This window comes from Homo sapiens, chromosome 16, assembly GCF_000001405.40.
Source record: "Homo sapiens chromosome 16, GRCh38.p14 Primary Assembly".
NCBI classification, from domain to species: Eukaryota; Metazoa; Chordata; class Mammalia; order Primates; family Hominidae; genus Homo; species Homo sapiens.
This window is the reverse complement of record NC_000016.10, coordinates 56,057,967-56,078,973: the sequence shown is the minus strand read 5'-3', so window position 1 is coordinate 56,078,973 and position 21,007 is coordinate 56,057,967. Positions and strand designations below refer to the sequence as shown.

The 21,007-nt window shown below is 43.3% G+C and overlaps 1 long non-coding RNA gene across 1 annotated transcript, besides 1 other annotated feature; it reads left to right on the top strand.

The window, feature by feature from the left end:
- Nucleotides 1-2,269: 2,269 nt before the first annotated feature.
- On the top strand, nt 2,270-16,836 carry LOC105371281 (uncharacterized). The gene is made up of 3 exons (XR_001752201.2): nt 2,270-2,826; nt 13,649-13,731; nt 16,692-16,836. It is a non-coding gene; the product is annotated as an uncharacterized LOC105371281 (long non-coding RNA).
- Nucleotides 9,435-10,634: an enhancer, noted in NCBI's record as "MED14-independent group 3 enhancer chr16:56102252-56103451 (GRCh37/hg19 assembly coordinates)". NCBI's record gives its function as "activates an origin of replication core promoter dependent on BRD2, BRD4, P300/CBP and CDK7 cofactors, and independent of MED14, by STARR-seq in HCT116 cells {active_cell/tissue: HCT116}" and the evidence as "EXISTENCE:reporter gene assay evidence [ECO:0000049][PMID:35650434]".
- Nucleotides 16,837-21,007: the final 4,171 nt, after the last annotated feature.

Below are 21,007 nucleotides of genomic sequence, written 5' to 3'. Positions count from 1 at the left end.
AAACCAGAGAGCTGTGTTGCACTTAGAGGAGAAAGTCGTGCCCTTCGGGTTGCGGTGGTGGTGGGGGTGGTTAGAATGTATCCTAGGCTGGATGCAGTGGCTCACACCTGTAATCCTAGCACTTTGGGAGGCCAAGGCAGGGAGATCACTTGAGCTCTGGAGTTTGAGACAAGGATAGGCAATAAAGTGAAACCCAATCTCTAAAAAATACAAAAAAAATTAGCCTGGCATGGTGGCACGCGCCTGTAATCCCAGCTACTTAGGAGGCTGAGGTGAGAGGATCACTTGAACCTGAGAAGCGGAAGTTGCAGTGAGCCGAGATCGCACCACTGTACTCCAACCTGGGTGACAGAGCGAGACTCTGTCTCAAAAAAAAAAAAAAAAAAGAATGTATCCAGTTAGATGAGGAAGGAAGCATCCAGAATCTGACCGGGCTGTCCCCAGAGAGGGTGGCGGAAGCTGTAGACCTTGAGAAAAAGTAGAAACAGGCCTGCTAGGAGAGGCCCTGCAGAATCCACAGCACTTAGTCCCTACTTCTGGCAAAAATAACTTGGTCTAGAATGATGGTTAATCGGAGACCCAGAGGTGGAGCCTCAGGCTGTCGTTAGCGTATGGCCTGGTTGTTCACTGTGAAAGCTTTATCCGGTGCTTTGTGACCATAGCATCTGGAAATGGGAAAGCCCTGGGGCGTTCCATGTATGGCCACAGCCTGCGATGTGAGGATGCCCTGGAGCTCTCCAGGGCACAAGGTACACATCTTTACATGGCAGCTCTGGTCCTGTGGGAACTTCTTCCTATATTTTGGGTGGAAGTTTGATAAAGAAACCTAAATATAGAAAAGAGAAATATAATACACATGTTTTTTTCTCCTTCTTCTGCTTTCAATTCACATCAATGAGTGGTAGCCAACTATTTGTGTAATTTGTATTTAGAGTGAATTTCTTGGAGGGAGGGAATTTTATAATAATTTAGCCTGTAATCAATCTCTCAAGTGAGACACTTTGCCCTCTGAATTGGTCCATTTTGCATTGCTATAAAGGAAGAATACCTGAGGCTGAGTGAGAAAAAAACTTTATTCGGCTCATGATTCTGCAGGCTGTACAAGAAGCATTGTGCTGGTGTCTGCTTCTGGGAGGGCCTCAGGAAGCTTTCAATCATGATGGAAGGGAAAAGGGGAGCAGGTGCCATCACATGGCAAGAGAGATGCCAGGCTCTTTTAAACAACCAGCTCTTGTGTGAACTAATAGAGTGAGAGCTCACTCATTACCACTGGGAAGGGCACTAAGCTGTTCATGAAGGATTCGCCCCCATGACCTAAACACCTCCCACTAGGCCTCACCTCCAAGACTGGGGGTCACATTTCAACATGAGATTTGGAGGGGACACACATCCCAACCATATCACCCCTATGGGAATTTCCACCTCTGGTCACTGCTCTCTCCGTGATGTTCACTGATCTCCCGTGATTCTTTCCACTTGGGTCTCTCTGTTTTAGGGCAAAGCATTCTCAAAATGGTCCTGATGTACCAGCGCGTGGCCAAGTAATTAACCTGGCTATTCTCCACAGCAGTGTGGCCAGTTCTGCTGAATTTTGCTCCAATCGTGTAGTGGTAGGCCTGTGGCTCATATTAGATTTGGCCAGTGCTAGACTTTTTCATCAGTAGAGTAGGGAGCTATAGCCAGGACATTTTCATTTTTCAGTCTTGAACTCAAACCTCGCCTCTGATTTTTCATCAGACCCCAGAAAATATAATCATGCCTATTTATAGAAATCCTGTCCAATTGGAGTCCTGGCAAATTAGAAATATTGTTTTCTTCTCTCTTAACAGGAACTGTGTCTGGGCTCAGTTTCCCTCGCCTTGCTTCATTCAGTCCATCTTTCATCTCTTAAATCCCAGCATTGGGTGGAGACTGAGTGGCAGAGAAGGAGACTCATACCTCTGTTCCCTTAGCCTGGTCGTCTGCCTGGAGGAGCTGGACATTTCCAACTTCATCTGAAGATCGCCATTTTGGATGTTGGATACTTCTCCTTTCTTTTTTTTGGTTTTTTTTTTTTTTTTTTTGAGACGGAGTCTCTCTCTGTCACCAGGCTGGAGTGTGCAACCTCCGCCTCCCAGGTTCAAGCGATTATCCTGCCTCAGACTCCCAAGTAGCTGGGATTACAGGTGCCAGCCACCACGCCCGGCTAATTTTTGTATTTTTAGTAGAGACGGGGTTTCACCATGTTGGCCAGGATGGTCTCGATCTCTTGACCTCGTGATCTGCCCACCTTGGCCTCCCAAAGTGCTGGGATTACAGGCGTGAGCCACCGCGCCTGGCCTTCTGCTTTCTTTATCATATTGTAGTTCAGTTCCTGTAGTTTCAGGTTACTTATTGTTAGGGATGGGTGCTGACATTTCGGGTCCCCTGGCTGGCAGCCAAGATTCAAGAGCACTGTTTTCTTGCTGTCAAATCACATTGCACCAACATCAAGTTGGATATAAAAGTCCCCACAAGTATCAATAAAAGACTGATGGTGCCTTTTATTATTCTTTGGGCTGAAGTGAGAAACTGGAAGGCTAAAAGACATGCGGATAAATGTGACAGGCCGAGTATGCTCTGTAGTGTCAGCTCCTTCCCAAAACCCCGCTAACACTATGGCAAAGAAAAGGTATAAACTTACAAGAACGAAGAAAAATGGAGAGAAAAAGATATCAGAGAAGAAAGATCAGCAGAACTTGGGAACGTGAAAAGTGGAAGGCTGAGTGCTGTCTTGGCAGAAGGGAAAGCTGAGAGGCAGCAGGCCAGCTCACATCCAAGAACCTCGGAAGAGCTCAGGAATTGAAGGTACCAACCAATGATCAAAGCCGGGAGAGGGTCGGGCGGAACACAGGCAGATGCGTCGAAGATCTGTCTCAGGGGATCTCCTTCCCCAGTCCAAACAACTGTCAGCTGTTTCTCCCTTGCTCCAGCAGGAAATAGGAGATTTAATCCCTGGATAATTGAATGAGAGAGAATTCAGATTGAGGGAATAGCCAGGAACAGTTGTGAACAGCACTGAGCTGAATGAAAAACAAGGGATAAGGTCCAAGTCTCTCCTGCTAAGTGATTCCCAGGATGTTGACTTGTACATCCCCACTCCCTCCAAGCAGGGAATTAGGAGATTTCTCCCTGAAGGCATGGACTTCCCCAAGAGGAAAGATCCACCGATTCTGCCATGTGGGGATCCCAGAATGAAATGCCTAGTGATGGATCAATAACCCCACAGGGAAGCCACCAGCCAGCAAGCCCTACACTTAGATACAGAACTCCCAAACACCTTGTTGTACTTTTTCCACATGTAAACAGTCTGAGATCAACAGGAATAAATCACACCCCAGACTTGATGCCCTAAGCGAGATGAGAGGATAGAACAGCTATGGAATAAGACTGGGATGTTATCAAAGGGAATGCAGCAGCAATAAAATAGTCATGGATGGGGTCAGAAGATCAAACTGAGGAAATTATGCAGAAAGTAGAACAAAAGCACAAAAATACAGAATATGATTTCACAATGAGAGGATTAAACCAGGAGGTCTAGCACCTGACATTGAACTGAAGCAAGGATTCAAAGTATTTTTTTATGCTGTGGACCCACAATCAGATGAGGCATATGGATCTCTTCTCAAAATAATGCTGTTTTAACAAGTGAAAAAATTATTTTATTAATAGACTTTATTTTTAGAGCAGTTTAAGGTTTATAGAAAATTGGGGGGAAGGAGGAAGAGAGGAATGAAGACAGAATAATATTTTAAAGCACATAAAATGCATAGAAGTACAAAGGAAACTGATCATATTGAAATATAGTTGTCAAAATATCAAAAAACAAAATAGGGATATAGCAATGTATGTGCTTTTTAATGAGCACATTAAATAACAAGAAGGGCAGAATGACTGTAATTTTGAAGTAGTGATGAGCATGAGTGCTATTTTAAGATATTTGCATCAATGTGATGTGAGATGAGCATATCTGTTTTTTGGTTTTCTGTTTTTGTGACAGGATCTTGTCTGTTGCCCAGGCTGGTGTGCAGTGACACTATCATAGATACCTCACTGCAGCCTCCAATGTCCAGGCTCAAGTGATCCTCCCGCCTCAGCCTCCCAGAGTAGCTGGGACTATGGGTGTGCAACACCACACCTGGCTAAATATCTGGGATTTCTATAGATGACCAGAAGACTACTGTTTTAATCATGTATTTGTCGAACTAAGTGCCTTTGAAAACTATGTGTGTGTATCACTTTTACAAAGGACCATAATTAATTAAAAAATAATTAGAAAGTATAATTTTATTTTTATTCAGGTAGAAGAAGTGAATGAAAGAAAGTTTAATGAGAGTGATATAGAGCCTCAAGTGTGAGATGAGGTGAACGACTTTGAAATAGCAAGTTCTTAAGTTTGTATGGTACTTTACAGTTTGCAGTGTGCGCTTTTCACACATTCCATTATGTGATTTTCACAAGAACTTCTAAGAGAAGGCAGTACAGATATTATCCACACATTCAGTTTATAAATGAGAAAGTGAGTCAAGGCTCAAAATCAGGTGCTTGAGTCCTAATCCAGTGCAGCTTTATAGGTGAGAAAGGTTGGAGGTTCTCATGTGTCCCAGCAAGGCTCAGAGACCCATTGACACAAGGCTGATAGTCACAAGAAGCAGAGTTATTGGCTGGGCGTGATGGCTCACATCTGTAATCCCAGCATTTTGGGAGGTCAAGGTGGGAGGATTTCTTGAGCCCAGGAGTTTGAGACCAGCCTGGGCAACAAAGTGAGACTCCATCTCTACAAAACATTTTTAAGAAATTAACCAGGCGTGGTGATGCATGCATGTGGTCCCAGCTATGTGGGAGGCTGAGGCAGGAGGATTGCTTGATCCCAGGAGGTCAAGGCTGCAGTGAGCCATGTTTGTGCCACTGCACTCCAGCCTGGGTGACAGAGTGAGACCCTGTCTCAAAAACAAAACCCAAACAATTGGAGTTGCCATTTGAGGTTCAACTCTCAGGCCAGAGGTAGAGTTCAAAGGAGCTGCTGGGTTGAGATCTTTTTAAATAGGGTGTCCCTAGGAGACAAGAGTCCAAAGTTTCAGAGGGGCTCTCTTTTGCTGCCTGGAAAAACATCCCTGGTCTTGATATCATCACCCCGGCCTGAAGTTATTTCTAAGTCCTCCCCATCATCCCTTCCAAGAGCCCATCCCAGAGCCCTTGTCTGCTAGTGTAGCGAGTCTCTGACATTCTTGTTTTATGCCTCCGTGTGGCCCTAGTGGAGCTGTCAATCATGGTGCCTGGCCTCCTTCACACAGTTGGGCCAAGAATGGTGTCACATCCCTGGACACAGTGACTCGTCCAAGGGGTGGATGCACAGAATCCAGGCCAGTTGGGGGCCTCCCATGGAATCTTCTGATTGGAGGTGGAAAGCTAGTTTTTCTTAGTTTTAAATCATTAAGGGTTTATATCTGGAGTTGCTAGGAGCTATTTTCTCTGGCATGTGGAGAGAACTTTTCTGATGTAAAAGAGAGTGCTATTAAAATAGAGACAGTGAAAATGAGATGGAGAGAGAGAAAGAGAAGGAAGAGAGGGAGAGAGATGAGGGGAGAGGGGAAAAAGGATGGGGGAGGGGACAGAGGAGAAGGAAAAAGGGAGAGGGAAGAGAGGAGAGGAGAGACATCTCCTGGATCCTTAGTGGGTTTCACTTCCTATCCTGGGTTTGGTTCCTGGAACACTTCATTTCATTCTGTGAGCCATTTCAGTATCCTTCCCATCCAAGAAAGCCAAGAATACCCTTCTTGCTGAAGCCGGTTTGAACTGACTCTTGTCTCTTGCAACCCAAAAGGTCCTGACTGCCTACCAGGGGCCCCCAGGCATTATCGGATGTCAGGATTTGCTTATGAAACCCCTCCTTTTCCCTGCTAAGGCCTTTGGTACCCCCAGAACATGCAGCATCCTGAGACACCCTCCAAGCTCCTCAGCACCCTTCCTGGGCCTCCTCAGGCATGCTCTCCACAGATCTATGCTTGGACCTTCTTCTCTGATTCCAGACTGTCATCTGTTCATTTATTCAGCAAACATTTATAAGCATGGTGGAAACACAGCAACCAGTAGAATGGAAATAAAGACATGCCTAACTATGAGTCAATGTAAAAAGTAATTTACTTCTTAAAATAAATGAAAAGCTATGAGAGGTCAGAGGAAAGAGTGACCATTATGGGTGGGGTCTGGAAATGCTCCCTGGGAGCCGTAGATGGGCAGAGAGGTGGGATTTGGACAATGGAATGGAAGGAAAGTGTGTGAGCTTGATGGTGGCTGTGGTTGCTCCAGGAAGGAGAGGTCTAGAGAATCACAGTGGCAGCCTAGACCTGCAAAGTGCTGTGGGGAGCCCCAAACATGGTGCTGGAGCAGCCCTTCCTTTCATGGCCATGCTGTCCAGCTGGGCCATCCGGTAGTTCACTCTCAGCTCTAGTGCTAGTGCCTGGCTGGAGGAGGGCTTTACACATTTGTATCTTAGTAGTATGGGGGGCTGTCCATCCTTAACCCGAGGGGCTGACTACAGGAGTAGTTTCAGGCCTGGGGAGATGGGTGGATTTGTTGACTTGGGGACTCAGGAAACTTGCCACCATCGCCATGCACAGGGCTCATGGCAGAGTACTCCATCCACGCCAAGGCAGGCATTGCCTCTGTGGCTGTGCTTGGCGGGGTCTGGGTGGGGGCAGAGTGTCTCTGCTTGCTGAAGGAGGTGGTTGGCAGGGTGCCTACCTTCCTGGAAGCCTTGTGTGCCACCTCCTGCAGGAACCTACTCTTTGCCCCACCTGTTCCACCAAATGTAATTTTCCATGGGAAGACAGAAGCATGGCTTTCCCCCATTGGTACCACTTGCTGGTACCAATTCAATGGCTGAGATGGGTCAGATTCCCATGAGATAAGGAAAAGAAGTATTTTTAGCTGGTTCTGGAGAGGAAAGATCCAGCCTGTGTGTCTCTCCATAAAGCTTTTCTCTATAGAATAATTTGATACAGGTAGATCAACTTACCAACATCTTTCAAAACTAAACCATCTCGAACAAACAGAGATTTGAGGTTCTTTGTCATTCTTTCTTTCCTTCCTTTTTAAAACTCTGCTAATCCTAAAGTTTCAATAAGATGATAAAATCAATTTTAAAATAATTTGAATAATCAAACGCTCTTACTTTAGTCCAGACTAAAAAAATGGCAGCAAATATGAACCCATTGAATATCCTCTGCTCTGTCTAGATTGTTGTGTCCTGGAAATTGGTTACTGCAAGCCCTTACCTGAAAAGAATTGAGTACTACAGGTGTTAAAAGTAAAAGGAGAGCCTCTGAGACCCAGCAGGAGGGTCATCTCCTCCAGAAAGCCTCTTGGCCATGACACTCTTTCCTTCCTTACCTCTTGTTGAGAGCCAAGTACAGTGATGATGATGATGATGATAAATACAATCAATTGACAGCCTGTTATGTTCCACGTCTGTACGCATTATCTTGTTGGAATCCCCAGAAAGCCCCCATGTTGCAGGAGTAATAATAATAATGATGATGATAATGTCGATAAAACCAGAGGCAGATTTATCACAAACTAAGAAAGCTTAGGTTGTAAATTTCAGGGTCCCTCCTTTACATAATCCCCATTCAAGGACCTGAAAAGTTCTCTCTCTGTCTCTCTCTCTCGGAGACAGGATCTCACTCTATTGTTCAGGGTAGAGTGCATTGGTGTGATCATAGCTCACTGCAGCCTCCGACTCCTGGGCTCAAGTAATCCTCCTGCCTCAGCTTCACGAGTAGCTGGGACCACAGGTGTGCACCACCATGGCCAACTAGAAACATTATTTCACTGCAATCAGTTAAGATTGCTGTCTCTTTTCATGCCAACTTCCCCTCTGTCATCATCCCCTTGTATTAGGTGGCTTTGTAATAGCTATGGGAATCTTTAGGGAATACCTAATGGGAAGTTGAATTGGGAATGTTGGGTTCAGTGGGTATGCCTCTGTGTCATTCAGTCACTTCACAGTCTAGTTAAGTGGTGGCATTTAGGGATACTCCCAGTGTCCTATAGGCCAAGTCACTCAGTATAAAGAAACAAGGACATTGACAACAAGTGGTTAGTGGCTGCTGTCCTTTCAAAGTGTATTTTTAAGGTTAATCACCTCATGAGAAAACCTGAAATACCCTTAAGTCTTAGTTCACATGCAGAAAACACTTAGAAGTTTTTTCCATATTTGACCACAGTCCTAAAGATGGGCATCTCACTATAAATAATGAGTTGTAAAGCCAAAATAAATTTTTCTGAACTATGAAAAATAAAAAGGTAAATTTGGTCAACTATGTTGAAGAAAATGCTGATTTATCTTTCTAGTCTCTTGATAGAAGATATCACAGAATTATTGTATGAAGGGATAATCACAAAGTGTAAAAAAGTAGGGAAAGTATTAACACAAAAGCATTACATTCTAGATTTTGTAAGTTTTAGGCATCTCTTGGCTTTTAACAATTTCCTAATGTGTTGTGATCTCTTTTCTCATTCTAAATGGATAAACATTTTTATACCTAAGTTGATGGTCCTAATTCTGCATTCTTTTTCTTAAGGAGGGCCCCTAGGATTGTATCAGGCCCCACATAGCCTGGATCCAGACTTAAAGGAAACTCATGGAGGTCACAGGATATAGGATTTTTCTTTCTTGTCTTTAAAGCCAGGCACCTGGCAAAATTAACAGGTACTCTTTGTTATGCAAATGTATTTCACCTCATATCCATAATGAGAAAGTAAGTATTAAGACTTCCTGGCCATTAAATGTCTATTGCTGTCAATTGCAAGGCTATTTTAAATTATTTTTATTTTATTTTATTATATTTTTTTCAGAGACAGGGTCTCACTCTGTCTGTTGCCCAGGCTGGAGTGCAGTGGTGTGATCATAGCTCACTACAGCTTCAAATTCCTGGGCTCAAGCAATCCTCCCACCTCAGTCTTCTGAGTAGCTGGGACTACAAGCACATGCCACCACATCTGGCTAATTTTTGTATTTTTTTGTAGGTTTTGCTATGCTCTCCAGGCTGGTCTTAAATTCCTTGCCTCAAGGGATCCTCCTGCCTCAGCCTCCCAAAATGCTGGAATTACAAGCATAAGCCACCCTACCTGGCCTTAAATTTCATTAGTTCTGGAAAAAATATTTTGAGGGGGACAGAAGGGATTTTACTCTGCCTGCTTCGGTTTCCACAAGTTGCTTTCTCCCTGGGATTAAGGTCAGGGGCAGGCCAGAACTGTGCTGTCCTGCAAGGAACAGAGTCTACCACTCTCCCTGCTGGTCTTGGGGATTCAGTGGGAGAAAAACATCCCCCTTCAGGGGTCTTTAACCAGGGAAGCACTTCGGACCCTTTGGGAAGGAAGATAAGCATCCGCACGTTTCCATGGATTTGTCTGCTAAGGTAAGCAGGACTAGCGTTACAAATACCGAAGTTCCTTCACATAAAGCATACATTTAAAAGGAAACAAGGAAAATAAGCTCACCAGAAATGTTATCTTATTGCTAGTCACTGAAAATCCTTATATTGCAATGTTCCTTGGTTTTCAAGTAAGCTCTCTGAAGACATGACTGCCTCTAGGAAGGGTCTGCCCTGGCTATCAGATGAAACAATTCTCTTCAAGTTTTGCCAAGTTGTCCCTCAGCTAAATGGTCTTCTTCTCCCAATTCAGAGAAAAGATGAAGCTTTCAGGTAGACATTTAGCTTTCCACTGATAGATTTCTCTAACAACTTTAGCAGCAGCAGATGGTCAAACCTTAAGGGAGAAAATGGGAACTGGGAATTTTTTCCTACTTTCTCCCTCACCTCTTTGTGACACTCTAACCAAATGGAATCAAAGCAAATATGAGAAAAGTGAGGTTCCTCATCAGTTCAGTCTTCCCCTACTCCCAGGTCCATGTCACTAGTCAGGACATGCCCTTTTCATATTTTTATGACTCAAGGCATGGATACGTAGCCAGGCTGAATCGTCTGGAATTATAAGCATACATTAAATAAATATCCAGAACCCCCAGATGGGCAAATTTAAGATGGGCAGTCTCCCACAATTGAATGTTTTCATAATCAACTGGGCCTACTTGGGTGAAAGGCATCTGATATAGGATTTTTATGTGTGTGACGTCCTTTTTCCCTCCACAGAAGATATTATAAAGTGGTTAAGGGGGTGGATTTAACCAGATAACAAGTCATTTTACTTGCTAATGTTTGTCTTTGGAAAATAATCTTTCTGTGCCTCAGTTTTCTTATTAATAAAATGGGTATAGAAGTACTCCACGAATCAACTGCTAGTTTGCTCTCAGGTTCATCTCTGTACTTCCTCTGCTCTTCTCTGAATCACAGGGGAACTCATTTCCCAGAATCCTTTGACTTCTGGCCCCAGATTCAAGCCAATAGGAGAACTTGACAGAAGGTCTGAGGGTAGGAGACAGAGAGAAGGCAGGGCATTACTCCCTCTTTCTCTCTTTGCTTCCTGTGATGTGCTGGTAGCAGTCTCATAGGTCCAGTGCCCACCAGATAGTTCCTGCCCCTCAGGAGGAGGTTCCAGGCTGCAGCTCCAGTGTCCTCTTAACCACTGACCCATGCCCTGGGCTTGGTGACCATGACACGGGGTTGGGTAAACAGAGGTTAGTGTTCTGCTGTTGTTGGATTTCCTTACCTCTTGATACCCCTTTACGCCAGTGAGCATGTTTCTCTTTTCCTGAAATAGAGAAAGAAAATCTGGTGTCAGCTTTCTCAACCTCTACCAGTAGAGCTCTAAAAACAAGCTTAACTGGAAACTTGGTCTCAGCTCCTACATGGAGTCCTTGTGATAGTTCTAGCTCATGCCACTCCGTCTCAACTTGGCACAGGAAACATGACCTCTTTCCATTGTCTCTCCAGCCCCAGGGTTTAGAGTAGCTCCTTATATTTTCTACTCTCTGAGCTGCCTCCCAGCCCCTTGTTTGGCCTCTCAGCAGTTTCAGTGTATTCATAACTAATTCCTTATATTCAATTCCTTCTATTTGAGACACCTAGAGTGGTTTCTGTTTTCCTGGCTGGACCTTGATTGTTACAGATACCAAACCAATGGGGCTACTGGGAAGATTAAGTGAGCGAAGATATATAATTGCTTAGAATATGTCCTGGAACACAGCAAGTGCTCAATAAATGGTAGCTATCAACATAGACTTTCTCAGCAATAATTATGTGAGCACAACAAATGGATTAGTATTACTTTTTCTTTTAATCTTTGTGGTTAAAACATGACATCACTTAAATCAGAGATATCTGAAATGGACACATCTGCCAGGAAAGACTACTGAGTGTCTCTAGCTCATGTGCAGCCTCCAGTTTCCATAGAAACCAAGCAAAGAAAATTTGCTAAAGGAAGCCTACAAAATTACAAGTAGATTCAGGTCTGTATGATTGTGTCTCAAGCCCTTTTAGCATATAAGCAGACTGTTATTACTAGTATCTTATTGTCTCTCTAATATCTTTTTTCTTACAAGATGCAATAGACCCAGATTCTTTTTCTATGCAGAGGATGACACAAAGTATAGGATTTCTTTGCCACAATACATTCCCTATCACATTCCCAATAGCAGTGCTTCAAAGGCTACTGTTATTGTGTCTATCTGCCAAATTGCTGGATAAACCCAGCTCTTGTCATTCTGTGGCTAATCAGAGGTTGTTTGTTGTCTGCTGTTAAGATACAGAAACAAAGAACCAAAAATATTAGTTTAAGCAAAACCCCAGAGTGAGAGACACCAACCGAAATCCCAATTAACATCCTGCAATAGACCTCAGCTGGAATGGAAATATGAAATTCTCCTGCATGGAGGTGGGGTGGGGGATGGAGAGATTCCTGGATCATTTGGTTTCAGCCCAATTCCTCAGGATTCCTCTTTAGCCATCGGAATTGGTGACAGTAACAAATGAGACAGCTTCAAGTCAGGCCTGCCAGAATTTGAATCAATAACCAGGCAATCTTGCTTCAATTTCCAAGCAATTTTAAATCTTTTTCTTTAAAATACTTTTGAGAGAGGAGGAATTGAGAGGATGGGGAGAAAATGCAGGCATCTTGAATACCAAGGTGAACTTCACTACTTTTCTGTGCAAAAGAAGGGTTGCAGGTGTCCCCTAGAGGTATCCCTGGGGCAGTGGAGAGGCTGGGCTGCCCCTAGCACAGTCAACAGAACCTCCTGCTCAATGGCCTCCCTTGATGAATGACTGTTGCTGAGTGAACACTTAGCTGGTTAGAGCACAGAGAAAATAAAAACAAGCATGGGGCATAAGTCCCCTTGAGTGCTTGTGATTGGATTGCAGCATGGTTATGGAGGGCAGGAAGGCAGAATAGAAGAAGCTCTAGGCTTGGTGTCAAAAGCTCTGGGGACATCTTGGTTCCGTCATTTTTAAGCTGCATGACTTTGAGCAAATCACTTCTTCATTCATTTGTTTTTTCACAAGGGGCTCAGGAAAAAAAGCATGTGATTCAGTGCAAAGCAAAGGCAAAATTGGAAAAGCTTGCTTGTGAGTAAGCACGTAATGCACACATAAACACCAGAACATCAATCAGTCAGCATTTATTAAACTTCTACTCTGAAACCAGTATTACTACAATAATGACATTATGAAAACAACCCAGAGAACTCTTTCCACATGGACTGGCTATGGGAGCAGGTGAGAGAGAGCTAATGTTTCCCTAATGGCAGTAAAGAGAACTCCAGATCAGAACCACAAAATCAATGCCTCCTATATGGCCTCTCTTGAGCCCCTAGTTGGCAGAGCCCCTTTGGCCATCTTTGATTATTCTAAGTGTGACTCTTCCACCCATGACTTCTGTGGCCACAGATAAGAGTATTGCATCTAGTTGGAATTCTTAAAAGCATCCTACATTTTTGCCATGCTCCTGCTGCTTTTAGGGGCCAAAAATCAAATGCTTTTTGCTGCACTTTTGTTTTATTAGGAAAGGGAAGTCTTCGCCTTAGGGTTGAGTTAAAGAATACAGAAGTGCACAGGGAGCAGAGGGATGAAGGGTTCCATCAAGCAGGTCTTAGTTGCTATGGCATCCAGATTACTACTTAAATCATTCTAGGGAGAGGCATCCCAAAGGGCATAAGGTGAGTCTCAAATGTGCTATCATTTGTGCTCCTTCATTACAAAGTTTCTTACAATTGCCAGTGAGCTAATCCTCCCAACAGGACTGATGAGGCAGATCAATACTAATATCCCCTTTAGAGCTCAATATTATTATCTACTTTAAGGCTCATTATGTTATCAGCCAATTACTCCATCTTTAAAGTCTCATCAACATCCCTCATAGCAATACCCCATTTTGTGATTGTAAGTCTGTGTTACCTGTGACACACTGGACCTGTTCTCACAAGAGAGGCAAGAACTAGGGTAAGTGGTACATGAGACACCGTGGGGTTGAATATTATCAGCATGCAGAGTTGCTCAAATGTGAAGACTCTAAGCAAAGGCACTGGGGAGCAATCCAGAGAACAGAACCACCTGCCTACTCACTGGGTGACCTTGAGAAAGTCACTTCTTTCTGGGATCCTGTTTGTGCACCTGCAGAATGGGGATAACTAAAATTTCGATCTCTCCTTCTTATCTTTTCTCTTTTACAGAGTTGTTAGGCTAAAATGAGACCATAGCTGTGAATATCCTTTGGCAGGAAATGCAGTAGAGAATGCAAGAGGCAACAATGATGGTGTGTATCAAAGCAGTGATATTAAACCAGCTTTGTTCTTCATAAATATTGACCCTGGAGTACAAACCAATGGACTCAATAGAATGCTTAGCTGGTTGGTTTTAATAAGATGACAGGCTGCCATGTCACACATGAAGAAATTAAGACTTGCTCGAAGTCACCCAGTGAGACAACTGGCAAGGTCTAGAAGGCAGAATTGAAGGTCTCCTGTAGGGTGGCCAATTTGTCCCAGTTTTCCTGGGGCTTTCTTGGAAAACGAAGATGGCTGGTCACCCATCTCCGAGGCTGACGCTCCATATCTGCACCCTCCCTGGACCAAGGAAGCCCAGGCAAACTGTGGATAGCTTTCTCAGGCCTGGTTCACTGATGGGTTCACCAGGAGATTCTTGGTTAATGTCTAGTGGATGATGTCTGAATGTTGGAATCCTTGGTGGTCACTGAGCCTATCTTTCCATCACCGAGACCATTCTGGGAGCTTTCCCTTTTCAGAAAGGCCCCGAGAAGGAGAACTTTGTAGGCTCTGTGAGGAGATTTCCTGAGGAATGAGGGGGTTGGGAAGTTAAACTTCAACAACAACCTACCTTCCTCAGGTTGGCAGTGTCTGCTTTCAGATATCTCCTTCAGGGCGCTGGCTCCACCCAGCAGCCTTGTCCTACCTTCACTGACTCTGAAAACCCACATGGGCCACACACACATAGTTATGTGATCATGTTCTCTTGCAAGGAAAGTTCAGGTACCATTTCATAAGAAACATAAATATTGAAGATCTTAACCACATTGCCAACTGGAGCAACCCAGTCCTGTCCTCCATATTTATTCTAGAGGTTTCCATGTATATATGGCTTAGTCAAAAGTCATGTGACCTTTTCAGGATAGTACCTTAAAGTCTCCCAAATTCCTAAGTGGGAATTTTAGATTCAATGCCTCTATTGAATCTAGGACATGTAGATGCTCGGACCTTAGGGGCAGTAAATGTGGCCTCTCCATACAAAGTCCAATGTGGTGCTTCCTGTGTGAAGCAACATGAGCCCCCCATCTTTCTTGGATAGGCACGGAACATGGATTTAACTTAGTAAAGATGATATTCTTGCAGGAAACAGGAGTGGGAAAGGGCAAGAGGGTCCTCTTGGGCTATCAGTCCTTGGGCCCTGGCATTGCATCCCTTCCCAGCCCCCAGCCTGAAACTGAACCTCCAAGGTCTCTAGTAGAGTCCATGGGCCCTGACATCAAAGCCCTCCTGAGGCTGGCTGGGTAAGGGTGGCTGGGCAGCTCAAGATGCAGGCCCCATGGGCATGGCAAGGGCACTGCTGGTCAGGCAATACTAGGGAAAGAAATGAGTGCTGCCGAGGATTCAAGCATCAAGTGCTAACACGGGGCCAGGAAGGCAACACAAACTCCCTGTTCGTCCAGGAGCTCTCCATTCCCAGTGAGCTGATGGGATACAGGGAGCTGGCTTTAGCCCTCTGCACAAGAGAACTGGCCAGAGCTGGGTGGGAAATCAGGACTTTGCCAGATGGGTCCTCTTTCTCCTAGAATTGGGACTTTTACCCTTTTTGGGTCATAAACCTTCTGGCAGTTTGGCGAAGCCCATAGACCTTTTTTCAGAATATATATGTGTTTCTTTTTTAATGCTTTAAAATGACAAGATAAAATGATGGGTCTAATAATTGCTCTAATTCTGAAATAATGATGAGTATACATGATATTTCAAAATATGTAACAATACAATGTTATGAAAATACCTGTGAATTCTATTGGTGACAAAGTCACAGGTACTGTGACCACTCTGGTTATTGCCTTTATTCATAATTGAAGAAAACACTAACTTTCAGTTATAGCAGAGGTCAGCAAACTTTTCTGTAAAGGGCCAGATAGTAAATATTTTAGGCTTTGTGAGCCATATGGTCTCTGTCAGCAACTATTCAACTCTGCTGATATAGCTTGAAAGCAGCCACAGATAATATGTAAATGAATGAGCATGGCTGTGTTCCCATAAAACTTTATTTATGGACAGTGAAAGTTGAATTTCATATAAGTTTTACAAGTCATGAAATATTATTCCTCTTTTGATTGTGTTTTCCAACCATTTGAAAATGTAAAAGACAATCAGAGCTCATGGGCTATGAAAAAATAGGTGGTGAGCCAACCAGATTTGGCCTGTGGGCCATAATGTGCCAACCCATGAGTTAGGGGTTAGTGAGAATAAAAATGCAACCTTTGTTTACCATCCAGGTTTGTAGGCCCCAGATTAAGAATCGCCATCTTAGAGGAGACTGGGGGAAATTGGCAAACCCCAGAGAGGGAACCTCAGCAGAGGTCCAGGCTCATGAACAGCCTGATTTAGAGAACTGGTGGGGTGAGGCGATGTGCTGTGCTGGAGGCTCCCTGGAAACTTAGAACTGCCCTGTAAGGGGTGTCTCCAGGAAAGCTGGTTGAATAACACAGATGCTAAGTTCCCACTGAACGGTGGGTGATAGCTGTTGGAACACCTATTGCTGTGGCCAAAACCCGTGCTTCAGAAACCAGCTTATCTCCAGTGCCTAGCATAACGTCTGGCACACAGTAGGTGCTCACACACTGTGTGTTAAATGAATGACTGAAACCAGCCAAGGTCTGCAGGTGGGATCAGCAGGAGATGTAGCTTCAGGAGCTAGGGAAGACAAAGGCCAAAAAGAGGTTGCTGCTGATGGCCAATACCATTTCCTTGACCAGGGCTATGGCCTGGAAGTCAGGATTCTCCCATTCTAGGCTCCAGCCAGATGCCTTGTATATCTGTATGGAAAAGACAATGGGATGCTTTCATCGACCCCTTTACTTTCCCCCTGGACACACAAAAGGCATTCAGGTAAAATCATGTGACTGAATTCTGAATGTGGGTGGAAATGATGTAGAATACTTCCAAGCTTGCCCCTTAAAACATCTTGTAATTTTCCATTCTCCCTCTTTCCATCTTCCACAAGGCTGGAAGAGAAGGGCCCCAAGATAATAAAGCCACACATGGACCGGGCAGAGATCCCTGAGTGGCCACTGGAAGGTGAGCTGCCTGAGAAGAGTCACCATATCTTCTTTGACTGGAGAAATAAACTTTGTGTTAAGTCACTGAAATTATTTTTGTTACAGTAATATAACCTAGCCTATTCTGACAATGCACTTTGTTCTCAAGGCCAGAGAGAATGCACTTTACCTGTCTATCTATGTATGTACTTATTTATTTAGAGATGAGGTTGTACTCTGTTGTCCAGGCTGGAGTGCAGTGGCGTGATCATGGCTCACTGTAATCTCTAATTCCTGGGCTCAAGCAATCTTCCTGCCTCAGCTTCCTAGGTAGCTGGGACTACTGGTGTGCACCACCACACTTGACTAGCTTTTTAATTTTTTAGAGATGGGGTCTTACTGTGTTTCCTAGGCTGGTCTTGAACTACTCAACCAATCCTCCTGCTTTAGTCTCCCAAAGTGCTGGGATTACAGGTGTGAGACACCATGCCCAGCCAAGAACGCACATCTCTTATGAAGCTTTCTTAGTTTGGGTTCCCTAGAAACAGACCTCGAGACAAGGAGTCAAGCACAAGTAGTTGTTTGGGAGGTGTAGGAAACACCAGCAGGAGAGAGAGAGTGAGATGGCAAAAGAAATGAGCCAATACAGGGTGTTCATCAGAACAGCTACCACTGTGAATGAGGAGCTTGATCCTGTGAGGAAACTCTGAACTGGTGTAGAAACATGCCTCCAAGTTATCCTATTGATGGGAAAGGGGGCTGGGGTATGTATACACTACCTTCTGTCAGTCATTTTTTGAGAGCTGTTGAGAGTGAGAGTTTATCTCCCCAGCACTGGAGGCTCATGGTGCCTTGGAGTAAGTCAGCTAGAGAAAGGTACAAGTCCCGGCAACTGGACGTAGGCTGGTGCATCCTCAAGGGTATTGGGAGGGTGGGGAACTAATAGCATCTGCCACATAGTGGCCTTTGTTTACAAGCTTTTTTGGTTTTGTTTTTGTGTCAAATTTGTGGATCACCTGAAACCACTCAGGACCCCATGGTTTTGCTTTTACTCATTTGGGTCCTCAGCTGCTGATAAGGGAATTGTCTGCCGAAATAGGAGAGAAACAGCCTGGGTGCAGTCATGGAAATGGCACCAGAGAGAAATGATATATTTTTCTTATGCTTCCACAGTCCTGTGCCATTGGGCCTCTCATCCTTTCTTTTTGAACCTCAATTTCACCGTCTGTAAAATTCAGAGGGCTTGAGTGATGACCGCTAAGTACTCTCCCAAGTCTAAAATTGCAACTCTAAAATGTTCCAACTGTAACATTGCACCCAATGCACCTGTTAGTGAAGGTTCCCTCAGTCACAGGGTGGGAAGGAAGCACATGATTAGAGAAAAGGGGATGCACACAGGAGAGGCTCTCCTGGGCCTGGGGGATGGGTGATTATAATCACCTTGACTGGGATTCAGCCAAAGCATTAGCTGAATTTTTTTAGTCCACCAGACTAGGTTATAACCTTGATGGACTCTCTGAATATGTCATGGACCTCAAGGCATAATATTGATGGGGACTGCAGATATAGCGTATATCTGTGTGTATGTATATATCATATTGATTTTAATTCCTATTCAAGGGGCTTGATGTCTATTTCGTTTGTTGGATGAAAGGTACTCCAGGTTAATACTGTGGTTTCAAGGTGAGATGGAAACCCTGGGACTGGGAGTCTGAGATCCAACTGGGTGGGTCCTTGCTTGACCATGTACTTGACCTTGAACTGTTTTATAATCCCATCAAGCCCCAGTTTTCTAACCTGCAGATGATGGGCCAAGACTAAATGATCTCTAAGTTTCAGCTGAACTCTAACCTTCTAATTTTTTCTTTTTATAAAACCCTTCAAGATATGCAATGGATGGAAAGATCAATGGAACCTCAAGTGACATCACTTTAGTTCAATGCCTCTTCTATTGACCTGGTCAAAACCTGTTTCTCTGGTTGTGTGACAGGGGATATCTACAAAGAGAGTATATGAGACTTTTTTGCCCGGCCCACAGCCTCTTTCCTGAACTCTGCCCTTCATCCCCATCACTCAAAGAATTAGACCCTGAGCAATCTTGTGTGCCTGACTAGTGGATTGGACTAAGCTGGGTCAAATGGATACTCTCTCCTTCAGATGTTGGTTTGGGACAGAGAAATATAAGTGATTCCTAGTTGGTCCCTTGAAAGGAGAACATGTACATATGGAAGCCATAGCAAAGATATGTACTTGTCTTTGAGGGGCAAAGAAAAGCAGTCTGCAGAGAGCAAATAAGGCAACTGTGTAGACAGGGAGCTTGACTACACGGTCCTGGGGAGAATAACGTAGGCCCCATGTCACCGTCATTCCTAAGCCTGTCTGGCATTTGCATGCCCTTGAGTTTGGTGAGATAGATCTCCTGTAAACTTCTCATAAGCTGTCATATTTTTCTTAATCTAGACTGAGAGGATTGATCCCCTATGCAGACAAAGAGCTCTGATTGAGGAAAAGAAATTGGGGGATTAGGACTAATGAGGGTTTAAAGAAGACAAGATTAATTGGGGACCCAGGGACTTCATCTTAAAAAGTGACATGCTGGACCTATCCTCAATGGGGAGAAACATATTTTTGTTTTTGTTTTTGTTGGCTGGTTATTTAACTGAGCAGCTGATTGTTGAGTTAGTCTTACTCCTCAGTTTATGATGAGTAAAGATCAAAGTTCCTCTTCTTTTTTCTTTTAGTATTTTCACCCCTTTATTTCCAATTCATGTTCCCATATTTCCTCATCCTTCTTCCTCCCAGGCAACCACTGTAATGTGTTTTATATATGACCTGGTATATGCTTGTATCCTTGAAAACACACAGTGTTGTTTTGTTTATGTATGTACTTTTATTTCCACAAATGGCCTTGTGTTAATCTCATTCTGTATTGACTATGGTTTCACTCAACATTATGGTTTTGACATCTGTGTTGCTGTATACACATCCAGGTCATGGCTTCAATCAAAGTATCTGATTCCATCATATGTGCCTATTACTTTTTGTTACCTGCTCCCCTTGTGATGGACACTTAGGTTGCCTCTAGCAGCCTGTTATCACAGTGCTGCAAAAAAGCATCCTTGTACATCTCTACTTGTGGTCTTTTACGCATGTTTCCAAGGTATATACGCAAGAATGGAATTACTGGATCATAGAGTGTAAATCTATTTAATCCCATTTCATACTGTCAGATTGTTTGCTAGAGAAATTACATCATTTAACACTTGCCAATTGTACCCATCCAGCTAAAACTTGGTATTACATAGTTTTCTAATTTTTGCAGCCTTAATGGGTAGAAAGTTGTATCTCATTATTATTTCATTTTGCATTTATTTAATTATATTATTACTAATAAGGCTAAGCATCTCTTCATCTCTTCTATTAGCTATTACAGTTTCCCCTTCTATCTAGTGACTACAAGTCCTTGTTTGCTTGGTACAGTCCAGGTTTTTGGCTGTTGCCCTGGTGAAGTTATTAAAAGTGCCTTTTTTTGCTGTTAAGTGTCCCGGTTAAGTTAATAAATGATATGGTCACCCTACCCTTCTATAACTTATTTATATTCTTTGTTTTTTTATTGCATTTTCTATTTTTTCTTTATTTGTAGGATTCCTATTATAGTGTAGATATATACACTATATATATATAGTGTATATATATATAGTGATGAAAAATCTTCCTCCAATTTGCCACCTATTTATCAGCTTTGTGGGGTTGTTAGTCAAGCATAATTTCATTGATGTAGTCAGATGGATCAAATTTGAATATGTTTTATGATTTGGGCATCTTGTTCAAAAAGTCCTTTTCTACCCCAAAGTCACAAAGATATTCTCTACATTCATTTGTATTATTTTAATAATTTTACTTTTCACATTTAGGTCCTTAACATATCTGGGACTATTTTTATGTATGGTCTGAAGCAAGGACCTAACTTGCTTTTTCTTCATAGAGTCAGTCAGTTTCCTCAACAACATTGAACAAACATCCCATCCTTTTCTCACTGGTTTGTGATCCTTCCCTATTTTATACTATTTTTTTCAGAGCTCCTTATTTTGCTCTATTGATCTCCTTCTCTGCAACTGTGTCACTAGCATCCTTCATAAAAATATATTTTGACTTGTAGTGCATCTTACTATCATATAGAACAGATATCTTCTCTTTGCTCTCAAAATAGATTTTGCTATTTGTGTACCATTATTCTTTCATATAAATGTTAGAGTCAAGTCTTCAAGTTCCTCAGAATACT